General features: G+C 41.6%; 1 protein-coding gene and 1 pseudogene across 8 annotated transcripts in view, besides 5 other annotated features; one reads left to right on the forward strand and one right to left on the reverse strand.

Moving 5' to 3' along the window:
• Positions 8,073 to 8,232: an enhancer, noted in NCBI's record as "active region_5810". NCBI's record gives its function as "activates an Ori minimal core promoter by ATAC-STARR-seq in GM12878 lymphoblastoid cells {active_cell/tissue: GM12878}" and the evidence as "EXISTENCE:reporter gene assay evidence [ECO:0000049][PMID:35858748]".
• Positions 8,253 to 8,302: an enhancer, noted in NCBI's record as "active region_5811". NCBI's record gives its function as "activates an Ori minimal core promoter by ATAC-STARR-seq in GM12878 lymphoblastoid cells {active_cell/tissue: GM12878}" and the evidence as "EXISTENCE:reporter gene assay evidence [ECO:0000049][PMID:35858748]".
• Positions 8,386 to 8,964: an enhancer, noted in NCBI's record as "H3K27ac hESC enhancer chr12:1800052-1800630 (GRCh37/hg19 assembly coordinates)". NCBI's record gives its function as "activates a minimal SCP1, AML or CMV promoter by ChIP-STARR-seq in primed H9 embryonic stem cells {active_cell/tissue: H9 hESC(primed)}" and the evidence as "EXISTENCE:reporter gene assay evidence [ECO:0000049][PMID:30033119]".
• Positions 8,463 to 8,762: a silencer, noted in NCBI's record as "silent region_4120". NCBI's record gives its function as "represses an Ori minimal core promoter by ATAC-STARR-seq in GM12878 lymphoblastoid cells {active_cell/tissue: GM12878}" and the evidence as "EXISTENCE:reporter gene assay evidence [ECO:0000049][PMID:35858748]".
• Positions 8,570 to 17,975, forward strand: part of ADIPOR2 (adiponectin receptor 2) — a 97,605-nt gene continuing 88,199 nt past the window's right edge. For 4 of the 8 annotated variants that reach the window (XM_011521024.2, NM_001375364.1, NM_001375365.1 and 1 more), the window contains exon 1: positions 8,570 to 8,713. The gene's annotated coding sequence lies outside the window, so the exon portion shown is untranslated. The remainder of the gene's footprint in view (positions 8,714 to 17,975) is intronic. The other 4 variants (XM_006719018.3, NM_001375363.1, NM_024551.3 and 1 more) reach the window with 1 other exon arrangement.
• Positions 8,783 to 8,872: a silencer, noted in NCBI's record as "silent region_4121". NCBI's record gives its function as "represses an Ori minimal core promoter by ATAC-STARR-seq in GM12878 lymphoblastoid cells {active_cell/tissue: GM12878}" and the evidence as "EXISTENCE:reporter gene assay evidence [ECO:0000049][PMID:35858748]".
• Positions 14,191 to 15,544, reverse strand: LOC100533654 (SDA1 domain containing 1 pseudogene; annotated as a pseudogene).

Here is a 17,975-nt window from a genome sequence, read left to right on the forward strand (position 1 = left end):
ATCGCACCATTGCATGACAGCCTGGGCAAGAAGAGCGAAATGTGGTCTCAAAAAAAAAACACAAAAAACAAAACCCAAGCATAGGGCACTTTCGAGTACAGGGCCCCGAGCAACTAACTGCATAGGTCATCCACCTAGGAAGCCAGGCCTGCATGGAGCCCACGAATCAGAATCTTTGGAATCTGACTGGAAAAAAAAAATCTGACTTTTGGGGCCTACCAGAATCTCTGGGATAATATCTGGGAATTGCCTTTTTTTTTTTTTTTTTTTTTTTTTTAAATACAGGATCTTGCTCTGTTGCTCAGGCTGGAGTGCAGTGGCTTGATCATGGCTCACTGCAGCCTCAATCTCCTGGGCTCAAGCAAACCTCCAACCTCAGCCTTCCAAGTAGCTGGGACTACAGGTGTGCTCACACTGGTTATTTTTAAAAGGGTCTCACTATGTTGCTCAGGCTGGTCTCGAACTCCTGGACTCAAGTGATCCTCCTGCCTCAGCCTCCCAAAGTGCTGGGATTACAGGTGTGAGCCACCGTGCCCAGCTGGAATTAACATTCTTAATAAGCTCTCTAGATGTTGACTTTTGAGAATCTCACACCTATTTTCTTCATTTGCTTGGGAAGAAGGAAGAGCAATGTTGGGTTTTTGTTTGTTTGTTGTTTGTTTGTTTTTGAGATGGAGTCTCGCTCTGTTGCCCAGGCTAGAGAGCAATGGCGCAATCTCGGCTGACTGCAACTTCTGCCTCCCAGGTTCAAGCAATTCCCCTGCCTCAGCCTCCGGAGTAGCTGGGACTACAGGTGCACCACCATGCCTGGCTAATTTTTTGTATTGTTTAGTAGAGACAAGGTTTCACCATGTTGGCCAGGATGGTCTTCATCTCCTGATCTTGTGATCTGTCCACCTTGGCCTCCCAAAGTGCTGGGATTACATGCATGAGCCACTGCGCCTGGCTCATTTTTTTTTTTAAGAGACAGAGTCACCCTCTGTCACCCAGGCTGGAGTGCAGTGGCATGATCATAGCTCAATGTAGTATCGATCTTCTGGGCTCAAGTGATCCTCCCACCTCAGCCTCCTGAGTAGCTGGGACTACAGGTGTGTGCCAGCCACCATGCCTGGCTTTTTATTTTAATTTCTGTAGAGATGGAGTCTCACTATGCTGCCCAGGCTGGTCTTGAACTCCTGGGCTCAAGTGATCCTCCTGCCTTGGCCTTCCAAAGTGCTGGAATGACAGGTGTGAGCCACCATGCCTGGCCAATTATCTTTTCTTTTCTTTTCTTTTTTCTGAGACAGAGTCTGGTTCTGTTGCCCAGGCTGGAGTACAGTGGTGGGAACTCAACTCACTGCAGCCTTAGCCTCCTGGTTTCAAGCAATTCTTGTGCCTCAGCCACGGAGTAGCTGGGATTATAGGTGTGTGCCACCATGCTTGGCTAATTTTTGTATTTTTATTAGAGACAGGGTTTCGACATGTTGGCCAGGCTGGTCTCAAACTCCTGACCTTAAGTGATCCGCCCGCCTCTGCCTCTCAAAGTGAGCCACTGTGCCTGGCCCCAATTCTCTTTTAAAAGTGTTCGGCTTGCTTTCCTAGATGGGCAACTGACAGCACTTATGTTGCATCTCTAGCAGCATTTCTTTGAGCTCTTTTACTCTTTTTCTGTTTTCCTCTTTCTCCCCTATCCTCTTTTGTTTTACGCTTGTCTTGGGCCTGCCCGCAATACCTCAGGTGTGGCTAGACTTGGCTGACGACATCCAAGGCATATGAGATTATTAGAGAAAGTTTGAGGGGAAGGAGTAAGACTTTTGATAGTCTGGATTTTTCATTAAGAATTTTATTTTTGCTATAGCCTGCTTTTCCTACCCAGTTTTGCTTTTGCTTCTAATCTAAACCAAAAGAAAAGGAAAAAAAAATTTTGAGAAACAAAGTTATGAGAACAATCTCAACCCCTACCTCAGTGATTATTTAGTCACAATCATTGGAATTCAATTCCAGATCAGTTCTTCTTCCTCCACCGTAAATGCCTGCCAGTCCTTGCAACTTATTTCTGCAAATTGTCACTTCACCAGATTGTGACCTCAAGGGCTCAGGGATTCATCCTGTATAACTTGATGAAAGTATTTATATCAAACTATCCTGACTAAACCTGGTCCTGAGTTCTGAGTTTAGCTATACATCATTGAGATATTGCAAGGTTAATAAACCTCTTTAGATTATGGATTTAAAATTTTAGCACAACAAATAAAATGCTCTTTTTTTGGCTTACAGTTCTGTGTGTGTGGGTGAGCGCATAAGCAGTCACTGAGTAGAACAGATGCTGTCTTGAATTTTTTCTTAATAAAAAGATGACAGATTTTTAATTACTGGGTGCTTCTAAATTACTTAAGAAATGACATTTTTCTTTATTGTTTTCACCTGTATTTCCTGTTGTTCCGTAGTTGTAGCTTCTAATACGCATCTTTATTACTCTCTATTTTTAAGGTAATGAAAACTTTGTGTTTCTATTTTCATTCTCACAGCAAAGGAGAGATTAAATGGAAACAACCCTTTATAACTTTGAAATATTATGTAATCCTGGCATTCTTAAAAGAATTTTTTGCTTGCCTTTTACTTTGGCAAAATACTTGTATCTAAAGATATATAAAGAACACTGATGGCCAGGCATGGTGACTCACGTCTGTAATCCAAGCACTTTGGGAGGCCGAGGCAGGCAGATCGCTTGAGGTCAGAAGTTCGAGACCAGCATGGTCAACATGGTGAAACCCTGTCTCTACTAAAAATACAAAAATTAGCCTGGTGTGGTGGCACACACCTGCGATTCCAGCTATTTGGGAGGCTGAGGTATAAGAATTGCTTGAACCCAGGAAGCGGAGGTTGCGGTGAGGAGAGATTGCACCACTGCACTCCAGCTTGGGTGAAAAAGTGAGACTCTGTCTCAAAAAAAAAAAAAAAAAAAAGAACACTTATGGCTCAATAATAAGAGGGAAAACAGCCCATTTTAAAAAATAGGTAAAAAGTTTGAACAGACACATCACAAAAGAAAATATAAGAAAGGCCAATAAACACATGAAAAGTCTCAACATCATTAACAATCAGAAAAAGGCAAATTAAAACCACAATGAGATAACACTGACATACCCACTAGAATAGCTAAAATAAAAAATTTGACAATACTAAGGGTTAGCAAGGATGTGGAACAACTGGAAATCTCATATATTGCTGGTGAGGGTGTAAAATGGGGAAACAATTTGGCAGTTTCTCATAAAGTTAAACATAAATTTATATGATTTTGCTAATTCACCCCCTTATCAAAAGTAAATGAAAACACATGTCCTCTAAAGATTTGTACATAAATGTTCACAATACCTTTATTTATAACAATCAGGGACTAGACGTTGGGCACAGTGGCTCACATTTGTAATCCCAGCACTTTCGGAGGCCAACATGGGAGGATCGCTTGAGGCCAAGAGTTTGAGGACAGCCTGGGCAATTTAGCAAGACCCTGTCTTTACAAAAAATAATAAAATTAGCGAGGCATGGTGGCACATGCCTGTAGTCCCTGCTACTTGGGAGGCTGATATAGGAGGATTGTTTGTGCTCAGGAGATCAAGGCTGCAGTGAGGTACGACTGCATCACTGCGCTCCATCCTGGGTGACAGAGTGAGACCCTGTCTCACAAAACAACAACAACAAAAACAAGAAATTACCCAATCATTCATCAATAGGTGAATGGATAAACAAATGGAATACTACCTAGCAACGGAAAGTGACGAACTATGATGAATGCAATAGCATGAATGAAACTCAAAAACCCCATGCTGAGAGAAAGTCGACAGAGCAAAAGAGTACATATCGCACGATTCCATTAATGGGAAATTCTAGAAGAGGCAAAAGCATTCTATAGTGGCAGAAAGAATATCAGTGGTTGCTTGGAGCCAGGCTTGGGAGAGGAAATACTGACTCCAAATAGGCACAGGGGGATTGCGGGGGGTGTTGGAGATGTTGTATATTTTGACTGAGGTTATGCTTCCACGGGAGTATACATTTTTCAAACCTCATTTGAACTGTACACTTAAAAAGAGGGTGCATTTTATATAAAATATACTTCAATAAAGTTGTTTTTCTCAACTACTAAAAAAGTTCAGAGAAGCCTCTAATATATGTCCATGTACATACCACCTAGGATTCATAAATGTTAAATGTTTTGTTACTTGCTTCATCTTTTTCATATAGAAGAAATGAAATATTACAGATAAAGATGATCTCTCCATAGCTCCCAGGCTTATTCTTCACCCCTTCCCACCGGCAAGTACATTCCTAAAGTTGTATTTATCCTTTCTGTCCATCTAAAACATGTATTCACCGACATCTTCATTTTATTGATGAAGGTATCAAAGCTTAACAAGAGCTAATGCATAAGCCATAGATAAACAATGCCTTTGTCAGCAGCACAGCCAGTAATGATGTTCTATCTTAAGTTCAATCTGCAGGACTATGTTATCTAATCTGCGTTTGAGGAGCTGCGAATGTAATTTATGTAATTATTGGAGTGTTTATACTGGTCTTTCTCTTCAGTTTTTTTTTTTGTTTTGTTTTGTTTTTTTTTTTTTTTTTTGGAGACGGAGTCTCACTCTGTCGCCCAGGCTGGAGTGCAGTGGCGCCATCTCTGCTCACTGCAAGCTCCGCCTCCCGGGTTCACACCATTCTCCTGCCTCAGCCTCCCAAGTAGCTGGGACTACAGGCGCCTGCCACCACGCCTGGCTAATTTTTTTGTATTTTTAGTAGAGATGGGGTTTCACTGTGTTAGCCAGGATGGTCTCGATCTCCTGACCTCATGATCCGCCCGCCTCGGCCTCCCAAAGTGCTGGGATTACAGGTGTGAGCCATGGCGCCCGGCCCTGATTAATGTAGTTTTAAACAACATAACAATTTGATATCAGTGATTCGTTTAATTGCAATTAAGATGGAATACAGATATTTATGTATTTCCCTCTAATTTTCTCAAGTAGATTACTAGACTATTTGCAAAGCATCTAACACCACTGAATCCTAAATAGCTGGCTGGATTTCACTGTTCTATGGACACTATATGAGACAACCAGAGGGACTGATGTGACGACATTCCTTGCCCTTTCTTTTGATTTATCTTTTTTATGGTGTATCTTCTATGTTGTCCAGATTTCCCCCTCAGTTCTAATGTTTATATTTTGAAAGCTGATAAATATTGGAGCTGAAAAGAAGAGTTTAGGCTAGAATTAAGTATTTTGTAATAACGAAGCTGTTAATTTCCCTTTGTAATTTTTTTTTTTTAAACTCACAGACACAGGTCTCTGAAAGAACACTCTAATTCTGGTTTTCACTGGCGAAGTAATTTGTCTTTTTTCCTTCTTAAAAATAGATACGATTCTGATAAGAAAAATGATAGCTTGTCTTTTCTCTATAAGAGAAGCAATATAAACCAGTTTCAAACTCAAGTTTAAATTTGCACTGGGATCTAGGGTATTTTTTCTTTCAGAATTTGAAAGTTGGCTCGGTACAATGGCTCACACCTATAATCCCAGCACTTTGGGAGGTAGGAGGATTGCTTGAGCCCAGGAGTTTGAGACCAGCCTGGGCAACATAGTGAGACTCTCTTTTTATGAAAAAAAAAAAAAATTTAAAGCTGAACGTTCATTTGCTTTTAGCTTTAGATACATATTCTTCTTCTTCTTTTTTTTTTTTTTTTTAGAGATGGGGTCTCACTCTGTTGCCCAGGCTGGAGTGCAGTGGTGCCATCATAGCTCACTGCAGCCTGGAACTCCTGAGCCCAGTGATCCTCCAGCCTTGGCCTCTGGAGTAGCTGGGACTACAGGTGCGCACTACCATGCCTTAGATACATATGCGAATCTCATTGGCTATTGCCTTGGATATCACAATGGAGTTTAACTCTGTCCATCATGTCAGCAATATACTATAGTGTCACTGGAGCCACAACTGGATTATGGATGTGACTCACCTAGTGATGCGCCATCCTTTTCAATAACATCTGATAATTGCAGAGATGACTACATCAGACTAGTTGAGCCACAGGGTACTGTTGGGTCACTGGTGACTGGCATGTGGGATAGGGGTGGAAGGGAATCTTTTTTTGGTGCTGCAGAAGATAAAGGGCTCTACCCTCCTGTGGAGTAGTGTGATACCCCAAGAATGGAGAGAACAGAAATTCTAAGATACGCAGCTGATGCTGGAGGTTAGAGAATTTTACTGAGTTTTTCTTGTTTTTTGGACAGCTAATCAGAAGACAATATATAAAGTTTAGTAACTGAAGTATGGTCAGGGAGAGGGCCTGAAAATTCTGCTTTGGAATATTTAATGGTGACATTTAGATAAGGGTTAAGGGTGAAGCCAGCCTTATGGATGTGGGGATCAGGGGAATGTTCCTCAGGTGCTCAGGTCAGGGACAGTGGCAACATCCTCAATAGTTAAGGAGGTGTGGGTATTTTGAGGAAATGATGTGGTTTGTTTCATCACTATATAAGCATCAGGAACTGGCAGTAGTGATATGTGAATGGGATCAAGGTAACCGAGAACAAGATGTGAAACTTTAGGGAAATGGTAAGTCTGTCTTTCATCTGGTTCAGCACACGGTGAACTGTTCCAGAGGTAGCTTCTTAAAGCCCTTCGTTTTGTCAAACCAGAATCTTTTTTTTTTTTTTTTTTGAGACAGAGTCTTGCTCTGTCACACAGGCTGGAGTGCAGTGGCACGGTCTCAGCTCACTGCAACCTCTGCCTCTCAGGTTCAAGTGATTCTCCTGCCTCAGCCTCCAGAGTACCTGGGATTACAGGCACGCGCGACCATGCTTGGCTAATTTTTTGTATTTTTGTAGAGACGGGGTTTCGCCATGTTGGCCAGGCTGGTTTTGAACTCCTGACCTCAAGTGATCTGCCCATCTCGGCCTCCCAAAGTGCTAGGATTACAGGTGTGAGCCACCACGCTTGGCCTGGAAACCAGTCTTTAAGAGAAAGGGATGCAGGAAAGATTGGAGATCTTTGAAGAATCTCTTTTTAAGAAAATTATCTTTTTCGCTCTAGTTCTGTCACCTTTAGTAGACTCTTTATTAAGCCTAAGAATCTTATACTTCTTATCTCTGTTCTATGTGAGTTGGTATAACGGGTCAAATTCACAATCCAGAAATGCCTGTATTGTTTCTGATGTGCTGAGGAGGTGTACAATTGTCTTCCTTGATTTCAACCTCAAAAGCTTTACATCTTTACCTGGGAACATAGAAGTCATTATTATTATGTCTTTCACAAATTATGTAAACTTAAAAAAATTATATTTTCAATGTAAACCACTCCTTGGAGGAAATTAGTTCCTTTAACATTTATTTCCTAATTTTAATTTCTACTAGTTTTATCTCTTTCAAGCTTAAATGAGTGGGCCTTAGTTCTGTATTATTGCCATCTTAATCATGTTCTTTGTGATTTTAGTAGCTTTACTTTTTAAAACTTACATTTCCATAATGAAGACTTCTGTATTTTTGTTTTTTTCGTCATATATCCGACTCCAGCTCCCTCAAGACCTGTCAGCTTTTCCCTGCACCCTTTGTTATCTCTTGCTGTGGTCCAAAGGTAAGGACAGTAAGCCGTGGGCACAGACTTTCCCTAAATCGTATGGATTTCCTTTAGTCAATAACAAGAATTTTGATAGTTAAGGCATTTACGCCTTAAGAATGTGATAAATTCCCCCTCCTACTGAATGTAAAGAACTATTTTTCTACGCAGACTAACTCTTATATTCACTTTTCTTATAGAATAAGTACGTAACCAAATCTGTTCTTGGCTTCTAAGAAGTTAGAACTCAACGTAAAGATGACTTGTGGAAAATTACTTACTCATTCTGGGTAAATGGACGCAGGTATTTAGTGCTTAAGTAGGTTCTGATATACCATTACATTAACATCATTTTAAAAATCGCTCTGAATTATATGTATTTTAAGAGTGACTGGGTTTTAAAAAAAATAGAAGTGGTAGAGCATAAATCATAATCTTTAATAAGGTAATAAAAGGCAAACACTATTGCTCTGGGCAAAACTGGGCTAATGCTTTTGGATTTCTTTCCGCAGTCTTCACAGACGACGCTCAGCATCCTATCAGCCCTTGGCAGAGACACACGATCCAGCCTAAATCCTCAAATTCTGGCTCTTGCCCAAAGTGTGTAGCCAGTATCCATAGAGACTGCGAAAAGCATCCGCGAGCCGGGGCGGCCCCCTCCTCCTCAGCTCCAAATTGCTTCCTTTTTCGGTGGGAGAAAAAACTCCGAGGAGTTGTGTGAGCGCCTAAGGAGCGCACGCTCCTCCGGCCCTCAACACCCAGTATAGTTTTCGCTAAGTTCCTGGCCGAACCACAGCTCCCACGATGCACCCAGGTTTTAGAGCGGTCAGAGGGGCGGCTTCCGGTTTAGGACAGCGCGGCTGCGCACGGCGTGTGGTCTTATTGGCTCGAACCGCCTCGTGCGATGCGCGTCACGGCGACGTGCGGTCGTGGGGGCGGGGAGACGCGGCGGCGGCGGTCGCTGTCGCGGCGGCGAGAGCGCGATTCCAGAAGCGGCATCGCGGCGGCGGCAGCGGCGGCGGCTACACCGGGCTTGGCCCCCTCCCTCCTCCGTTCCCCCCTCCTCCCCCCTCCCCTCAGCGGTGGCTCCCAAGAAGTCCGAGACACGCGGTGAGGCGGCGACGGGCTCCGGGTGAGGGTCTCTGGAGTGTGGGCGCCGTTTCCTGGGCGCAGAGGGAGAGCTTGGGGTCGGGGGGAGGTGAGAGCTGAGGGGCGAATGTCCCTGGCGCGGGCGGGAGAGCGCGCTCTCGGCCCGGCCCGCAACTTGATTCCTAACTCTGACCTGCCGCCCGGCGCGCCTTGGCCTGAGGGTCGGCCGTGTGGGGACCTGGAGCCGCCCTCCTTGCGACCGCTGTCGGAGGAGTCCGGCGCCCGCTGTTCCCCTCGCCTCGCCTTTCGCGGCGGAGGGTCGGAGCCTGCTGCCCTCTGCTCACCTTCGGGTGCAGTTGCTCCAGCTCCCTGCCCGCGGAGAGGATCTGCCCGCCCCTCTTCGTCTCTTGTCTGTTTTTATCACTTCTAGGAATTTGTTTGGTGGAGGCTTGGGATGGGCTCTCTCAGCGCTACTTTCACAGTGACTGGGGTGGGGAAGAGTTCCCTCACCTTTTTCAGGTGGCGCGTCAGGCAGCCTGCTTGGTACCTGGAGTCCTGTTTTCCCAAGCCCCCGTCCGTCAGTGTTCGCTTCTTCTAAAATTACCGATGACAGGGTTATAAATCAGTTTTTAGGGGGCTCGGAGAGAGTTTGGGTTGGAAACTGTTAGCTCTTTTTTCCTCCTGGCTTTTGATCTTGATTTAAGCGTTTGCCTCTGAAATTTTGACAACTTCATAAGATGGTCCAAAAGTGAATTTTGGTAGAAAGATTTAAATGCACAGTTGGGATTTTATGGGGGTACGGTGACTTCATTGCAGGTTGTTGACTTTTTTTTTAAAATAAGATGTTCTTTTAATTTTTTGACTCTGGGTTTCTGAGCCTTGGTTATTGTCCCCCATTTCTGTTCCAAAAGCAGACTTTTTTTTTTTTTATCACCCCTTCCCCTCACCCAGAGAATCCCTTTAAACGCCAAGAAAGCTGTCATAACATTTAGCATTATTTGATCACAGAACTTTTCCAAATGAAATGCTAAAAATTCCTTCAGAAAAAAGCATCCATCTACCCATAGCATTATTTTTTGGGGGGAGGCTATACGTCTTGTCAGTTCTGAAAGTTTGAAGTGACCTCTTATCAAAGGCCACCCTTATGTCTCCTTAAACGACTCTTAGGTAATTCCTAGATGTTTTCATCCGTTCTGATAAATTTGTTGTCAGAGTGTTGATTGTGATGATCTGCAACTAAAATTATTTCATCAGTAAAGATTTCCACACATGTGGCAGCTGCTTGTTGGTGAATTATGAAATTTGAAAAAATTGCAAATTAAATGTGAAAGGCATATTTCTTTTAACTTCTGATTGTAACTGTCTGTCCTCCAGTATACGTTCCTATCTAGACTTTGGTCTGCTTAGCAGATTTCCTCTTTTCACTTGACACTAGGAATGGGAGTAGGATTTCCAGAGCCTAAAAGAGAGTTTGTTTTTTTTTTCTATCCCTAGGCTCCTTGTATGAATTTATAAATAAATGGTTTTTTCTATCAATAGTATCAATTTAGCTGGTGCACTTTTTTTTTTTAGTATAAATCACATTTTGTTTCCTAAAATGAAAATAATTTTGTTTTATTCTTTATTTCAGGGATTGACAGATTTTAAAGCCTGCAGGCCCAGTCCTGCCAGTTGCCTCTTTTTGTAAATAAAGATTTGATTAGGCCTGGTGCGATCGCTCACGCTGGTAATCCCAGCACTTTGGGAGGTCGAGGCGGGCAGATAACCTGAGATCAGGAGTTTGAGACCAGCTTGGCCAACATGGTGAAACCCCGTCCCTATTAAAACTACAAAAATTAGCCGGGTGTGGTGGCGCACTCTTGTTATCCCAGCTGCCCGGGAGGCTGAGGCAGGAGAATCGTTTAAACCCGGGAGGTAGAGGTTGCAGTGAGCCAAGATTGCACCATTGCACTCCAGTCTGGACAACAAGAGCGAAACTCCGTCTTAAAAAAAAGAGGAAGAAAAAAGTTTTTATTAGAACATAGCCATATGCAGTCGTTTAGGTATTGTCTGTAGTTTCTTTTGGGGTACAGCAGCAGAGTTGAGTAGTTGTGCCAGAGAGCCATGTGGCCTGTAACACCTTATATTTATTTACTATGTGGACCTTAATATAAAAAGTTTGCCGAGCTCCATTAAAAATGATACATAGTCAATGTTGAAAATTTAAATGAGTCAGAAAATTGTAAAGGAGAAAGTAAAAGTTATTTACAAGTACACCACTTGGGGCTTTTTTTCTGTGATTATAGAATTTGTTGGTGATTATTTTTTATATAAATGAACTCAAATTGATAAATGTTGGTTTGTAATCTGCTTTTTTTTTTTTTTGTTCATTTTGTTTTTTGAGACGGAGTTTCGTTCTTGTTGCCCAGGCTGGAGTGCAATGGCACGATCTTGGCTCACTGCAACCTCTGCCTCCTGGGTTCAAGCAATTCTCCTGCCTCAGCCTCCCTAGTAGCTGGGATTACAGGTGTGCGCCACCAAGCCCGGCCAATTTTTTTTTTGTATTTTTAGTAGAGACGGGGTTTCACCATGTTGGCCAGGCTGGTCTCGAACTCCTCATGTGATCCACCTGCCTCACCCCTCAAAGTGCTGGGATTACAGGTGTGAGCAACCGTGCCCAGCCCTGTAATCTGCTTTTTTAAGAAGTATTTCATTATTTGTATTTGGATTTTGATTGCTTTTGTATTTTCTGCATTGGAGGTCTTTCTAGAAAGGGGCTTATGAACCGGGTTTTCATGATTAGTCTTACCAGTCAAGATTTAAAAAGAAAATCCAGGAATAATAAATGCTTGGTAATGAAGATGCTGGTTAACATTTATTGAGCACTTACTATGTACTAGACAATTTCCACTACTTTACGTGTATGAAATTATTTAATTGCTGTGGCAGCTCTGTGAGTGTATACTATGATTTCTGTTTTACAGGTGAGGAAACTAAGGCAAGGAGAAAAATTAAGTAACTGTTGGAAGTTTATCAGCTAGCAAATGGTGGAGCTAGGATTTGATTTCATGCAGTCTGATTTGAGAAACCCAAATTCTTAACAATATGCTACAGAGCCTCTACTTACATTATTGCTCAGTGTAGAAAGTTTAGACAGTCCAGAGATATACTGTCATCCCTTGGTGTCTGTAGGGACTGCTTCTAGGACCTTTGGTGAATATCAAGATGCACAGATGCTCAAATCTCTGATATAAATGGCATAGTATTTGCATATAACCTGTGCATATCCTCCCAAATACTTTATATCATTTCTAGATTACTTATAATACCTAATAGAATATAAATGCTATGTAAATAGTTGTTATACTGTATTGTTTGGGGAATAAAGACAAGAAAAAAAAGTCTGCATGTTTCAAATACAGATGCTATATTAAACTTTTTGGATCCAAGCTTGGTTGAATCCACAGACATAAGAGCCCATGGATATGGAGGGCCAACTGTATAATGTAAAAAAATTCCTTCTCATGCGCTAGTTTCCAGTTTTCATCCTTTGTAGATAACCAGGGGCAACAGTTTGATATAGGTCTTTTCACCTCTCTTTGTGTGCATATACAAGTAATTATTTGCAGATTTGTCTGCATATTCAGAATTTAAAAATTACACTTTTTTTTAGCAGCTTTAGATGTACAGAAATTTGAGCCGATAGCACAGAAAGTTCCCATATTCCCTTCCCTTCCCTCGTTTCTCCTATTGCAAACATCTTGCATTAATTTGGCACATTTATTGCATTTGATGAGCCCATATCAATATGTTGTTATTTATTGGTCTATAGTTTACATAGGGCTTATTCTTTGTGTTGCAGTTTTTTTTTTTTTTTTGTTTTGTTTTTTTAAGATCTCACTCTGTATCTCAGGCTGGAGTGCACTGGTGCCGTCATGGCTCTGCAGCCTCGACCTCCCGGGCTCAAGCGATCCTCCCACCTTAGCCTCCCAAAGTGTTAGGGTTACAGACATGAGCCACTGCACTTGGCCGAGAGTTATTTTTTACAAAAATGGGATCAAGCCCAGTGGTGGCTTGCGCCTGTAGTTCCAGCTACTTGGGAGGTTGAGGTGGGAGGATTGCTTGAGGCTAGGAGTTTGAGACCAGTCTGGGCAACACAGCATGACTCTGACCAGTCTGGGCAACACAGCATGACTCTGTCTCTTAAAAAAAAAAAAAAGTGGGCTGAGGGTGGTGGCTAACGTCGGTAATCCTTGCACTTTGGGAGGCCAAGGCAGGTGGATCACCTGAGGTCAGGAGTTCGGGACCAGCCTGGCCAACATGAATGAAACCCCCTCTCTACCAAAAATATATTAAAAAAAAAATTATCTGGGTATGGTGGCGCGCGCCTGTAATCCCAACTACTCAGGAGGCTGAGGCAGGAGAATCGCTTGAAACTGGGAGGTGGAGGTTGCAGTGAACCGAGATTGCACCACTGCGCTCTAGCCTGGGCAACAGGAGCAAAACTCCATCTCAAAAAAAAAAAAAAAAAATGACGAAACCCGTCATTCAGCAGTCATTCACCTTTTTTGGTGGTTTTCAGGATATAGTGCTTTTGGACTTTCTAATGTAAACATTCTTGATTTACTAATTTTCAGATTAATGACAATTTATTTTGGGAATGGAAGGCTGGCTTGGATGTTACTTTTTCTCTCTTTTTATTTTTCTATTTTTTTTTTTAAGTGTATCTCATAGTGGCAGCAGCTTTTCCCCAAAGGAATGCTTATTTTTTTTGACGGGACATTCTGGCTATACCTAATCATCAAAGTTCTTCTTTTTTCTCTTTATCTCTGGATTTGGAAAATGATTCATTTTGGTTTTCTTCCTCATAAATTCTTTTTGGTCTGTCCAGCCATTGCAGTTGCTAGTCATGTCTCCTTGTCAGACTTTGGCTTTTTATGACTGTCATCAATGTTAGAAAAAATTACTTGCTCCTTATCACTATTTCAATACATTTCCTCTTGGGCTTTCCCTGGGGGCAGCACTGAATTTTTTCCTTAGTTGAGCCATGCAGATTTTCTAGAAGTCATCGTTTAGTTTGGCTTTTCACTCCTCCATGGGTGCTGTTCAGCTTCTAGGAGATTTCTTGCAGTTTCTACTTGTCAACAGATTCACCAGCAGCACCCTCCTCCTCACTGAGACTGGTGCTTCCCCACCCATCTTTATCATTTTCAGCCTTCTCTTTTTCTTTCTCTTTTCTTTTTTCCTTCTTTTTTTTTTTTTTGGTTACAGCGTCTTACTCTGTTGCCCAGACTGGAGTGCAGTGGTGCAATCGTAGCTTACTGCAACCTCCGCTTCATGGGCTCAAGTGATCCTCCCACTTCAGCTTCCCAAGTAGCCGGGATTACAGGCATGCACCACCATGCCTGGCTAATGTTTGTATTTTTTGTAGAAACAGGGTTTTGCCATGTTGTCCAGGCTGGTCTTGAACTCCTGGCCTCGAGCGATCCTCCTCCCTCAGCCTCTTGAATAGCTGGATTTAACAGGCAGGAGCCATTGTCCCTGGCCATATTCTTGCACTGTTGATTTTACTGGGGCCTCTGTCAGCTTACCCTGGAATTCTGCATCATCTGAGGATTTGGAAGAACTGAATCACAGTTATAGTAGACAGCATCATATTCTTATCCTTGTGTGTTTTATACTGGGACAGGTCTTGAGGAAGTTCTTCTGTCATGGCTAGGGGACATTGAGCTATTACCTCTTATAGCACTGATTTGGACTGTCATGTCTTCCCTAAAGTTCTTGTCCATAACATAATGGATGGTCACAGTCATGAGCAATAACTGAGTGATCTCTGGGACTAACAGGTGATGAAATGCATGTTTAGCAAACAGTGATTTCTGTTACTTCTCTGTGGTGCAGCAGCAGAAACTTTTGCCCAAAGGCATAGAAGTTAGAGGGCTTATGAATTTCTGCCAATCTGGAGATAAGATTTATGAGCATCATGTTAACTCAAACCTCTGCTTAGAGATTTCTAGCTGTGTGCTTCAGGAGTGTTTTGGTAAAACTTTGAGGATCATGAATAAAGCTAATAGCTTAAAAGTTAAACACTGTGAGTTTTTTCTTCTTTTGTTTCCTGGGCACTTTTCATAACCTTTTCAGTGTTTTGTGTTTGGAGCCACTCTTCCCAGTGACATACTGCACTTGTAGGTCTCTTGTCACTTTATCCTCAGATTCTGAGTCTGTCCTATTTGTTTCTCTTCTTCATCTTATCCTAGGAAGAATGTCAAGGTGGCAACCAATATCTCAAAACATGCAGTTGTGATGACATTGACAGTTTTGGCATCAGTCCGGATGTTTCTTGTAGAGTTCAGTCATCACATCCAAAGATATCTTGGCTGCAGTTACATTGCTGTCTCTTAACACGATGTATATGAAATTCTGCAGTACTATATCCACTTTATTCTTGTGTTTTACAGTTATATTCTTGCTATCAGTCACAACATGAGTATGTAAAGTCTCAAAAGCTTATTATGGCAACTTGGAAGTTCAAAAAAGAGCTCTAGCAAACTTGATGGATGGATATGATACTTCTCAGCAAGATCAAAGCTTTGTAAAATGTTATTAGATGATTTTGATTCAAGACAGTACAGTATAATTGTAGGAAAGTAGATCTTTTAGCTCTTGAGGAAAGTTACTTAGATGTTCTGGGTAACAGTGACCAATCTGTGCCATAAATATCACCAGCTCTGTCAATTCTTTGCCAGGTTTATTGGTTTTAATTTGAGAATCTCCATATTGGATTTGTAGTGTATATAGTACTGCTGTAGTAACCCTTTAATGTCAGCCAGTGGCTCCACTTTATTAGATTCTATAACTGCTGCTTGTTACTGGGCAGCTAGTTTCTGCAGGACATGTTGGCTGTAGACTGGATCCACAGTGAGTAGTTCTCAGAGAACCCGTACTGCTGACATTTGCAAACCCATTTCAGCTGTGGTGTGGAGCTGTGGCGTTGTACTTCTGGATGTGACCAGAAACAGTGTTTGGGAGCTCAGCAGGTGGTGCTGTCTTGGCTGATTGTGTGTGTGTGTGTGTGTGTGTGTGTGTGTGTATTTTATTTAATTTCTGAGACAGGGTCTTGCTCTGTCACCCAGGCTGGAGTGCCATGGCACAATCACGGCTCACTGCCCTCTCGAACTCAAACAGTCCTCCCAACTGAGACTCCCACGTAGCTGGGACTATAGATGCACGCCAGGCTAATTTTTGCATTTTTAATGGAGACGAGGTTTTGCCATGTTGCCCAGGCCGGCCTTGAACTCCTGGACTCAAGTGATCCTCTTTGCCTTAGCTTCTCAAAGTGCTGGGATTATAGGCTTGAGCCACCATGACAGGCCCTGTGTGTGTGTTTTTAAAATTAATATTTGTGGCTTACTTTACATCTGCATCTACTCTCTTCTTTTTAGTAGTTCTCTAGTGTAGTATTATTAAATGGATATGCTATAACTTAATACTGCTCTTACTGATGGATATTTAGATTATATAAATGGATTGTAAATTGCCCATACATTTTATGTATATTTATTGCAAGCTAATTCCCCTTTAGTAATTTTGTAATAGTTGAAGAAAACACATTTTTCATTTTGATGTGTGTTATCACATTGCCACCCAGAAAGGTCACAGCAATGTAAACTCTCACCAGAAATGTGGGTGGAGTCTAGCTTCTCTGTGTCATTACAAATTAAAAAAAAAAATCTTTGTTTATCTGATAGGAGGTTAAGCATTTGCAGTATATTCTATCTAACTGGGAGATATGCTTTGTTTCAATAGCATTCTTTTAAAGTTGATTTACGATTACTTCAGGTGGAGCATGCATTCTGTTCCCGGGCCTCCCTTAGGTGGAGCTGCTTCACCTATTTACATTCTCTGCTTGGCTCTTGAAAGCATATGGTTTTGTTATCACTGATCAAAAAGAATCTGGGTGCCTGCCTAATAGACTATATATTTCTTGAGGGTAAGGAACGTGTAACTTTCTTGATAATCTACTGGCAGTTCCGGTATATAGCAGGTGGTAAGTAAATGGTCTTTTAAAAATCTAAATTGGTTCATGAACCAGTAACTGTTGGGGTTACTGCTGAGTGAAGTGCTTTAATTTTGTTAAAAATAATATTTTCAAATTGTGAAATACAAACTTGAAAAACTGCAGTGCATGCTGGGTGCGGTCGCTCAGGCCTGTAATCCCAGCACTTTGGGACGCCAAGGTGGGCGGATCACCTGAGGTTGGGAGTTTGAGACCAGCCTGGCCAACATGGCGAAACCCCCGTCTCTACTGAAAATACTAAAACAAAACAAAACAAAAAAAACCAAAAACAAAAATTAGCCAGGCATCATGGCCACTGCCTGTAATCCCTGCTACTTGGGAGACCGAGGCAGGATAATCACTTGAACCCGGGAGGCAGAGGTTGCGGTGAGCCGAGATAGCACCATTGCACTCCAGCCTGGGCAACAAGAGCGAAACTCCGTCTTAAAAAGAAAAGAAAAACTTCATTATAAAATTGTCACTTTGGCATATGTTGTCTCTCATCTTTCAACTCTAAGATAAGTTAAATAGGACGAACTGATATCTTAGGACCTGTTAGGAAATAATTAGCCTATTTTATAAGTACATTTGGTATTTAGAAATTGGAAGTTGAGGAATTTATTAAAAAGGGGATTTGTTTAACATTACTTATGGTTTTGAGTTTTCTGGATTGGAGTATACCATGTGTTAGAAGGGGATATATGTTGGCCAATGATATTATAGATTGGCTTAATTAGACAAGTGTCCAGACAGAAGGAAAAGGGAAGCTAAATTCTGAGAATTGCCAGATTATCTTCAGGCATGGGAAAAATAACTGGAAAAGGACACTTAAGTTTTTTAATGGAAGACTACAACAAAATGATATTTTCTTTATAACTGATCATATTACACATTCTTACTGGATTTATTGAATATAAGAATATTCTTATTTCCACAATGTCTGTGTACTAGAGAACAAAACACAAAGCATATGGTCTTAAAAGGGGCAAAATTAGTTAGCTTATTACACTTTGGCCATTTAGGCCTTTCTTTTGTATGTTTGTTGTTAGTATATCAGCTGATTATTTTTCATTGACAGCATATTCACTTTAATCTTGTATGTTTTGAAATTAAGTTTAGTGAACATGTATGCCTAGTTGTATCCATGTATCCATTCCTTTGGTTAAGGAGGATGTCTTTGTGGTAGGGGTTACATTATGAAAACTTCAGCAGAATGGCACAGAAGATTGACTTTATTTTCTTGAAATTTATTTTATCCTATTTCTTCCAG

The sequence above is a fragment of the Homo sapiens genome, chromosome 12 (genome assembly GCF_000001405.40).
Source record: "Homo sapiens chromosome 12, GRCh38.p14 Primary Assembly".
Classification (NCBI taxonomy): domain Eukaryota; kingdom Metazoa; phylum Chordata; class Mammalia; order Primates; family Hominidae; genus Homo; species Homo sapiens.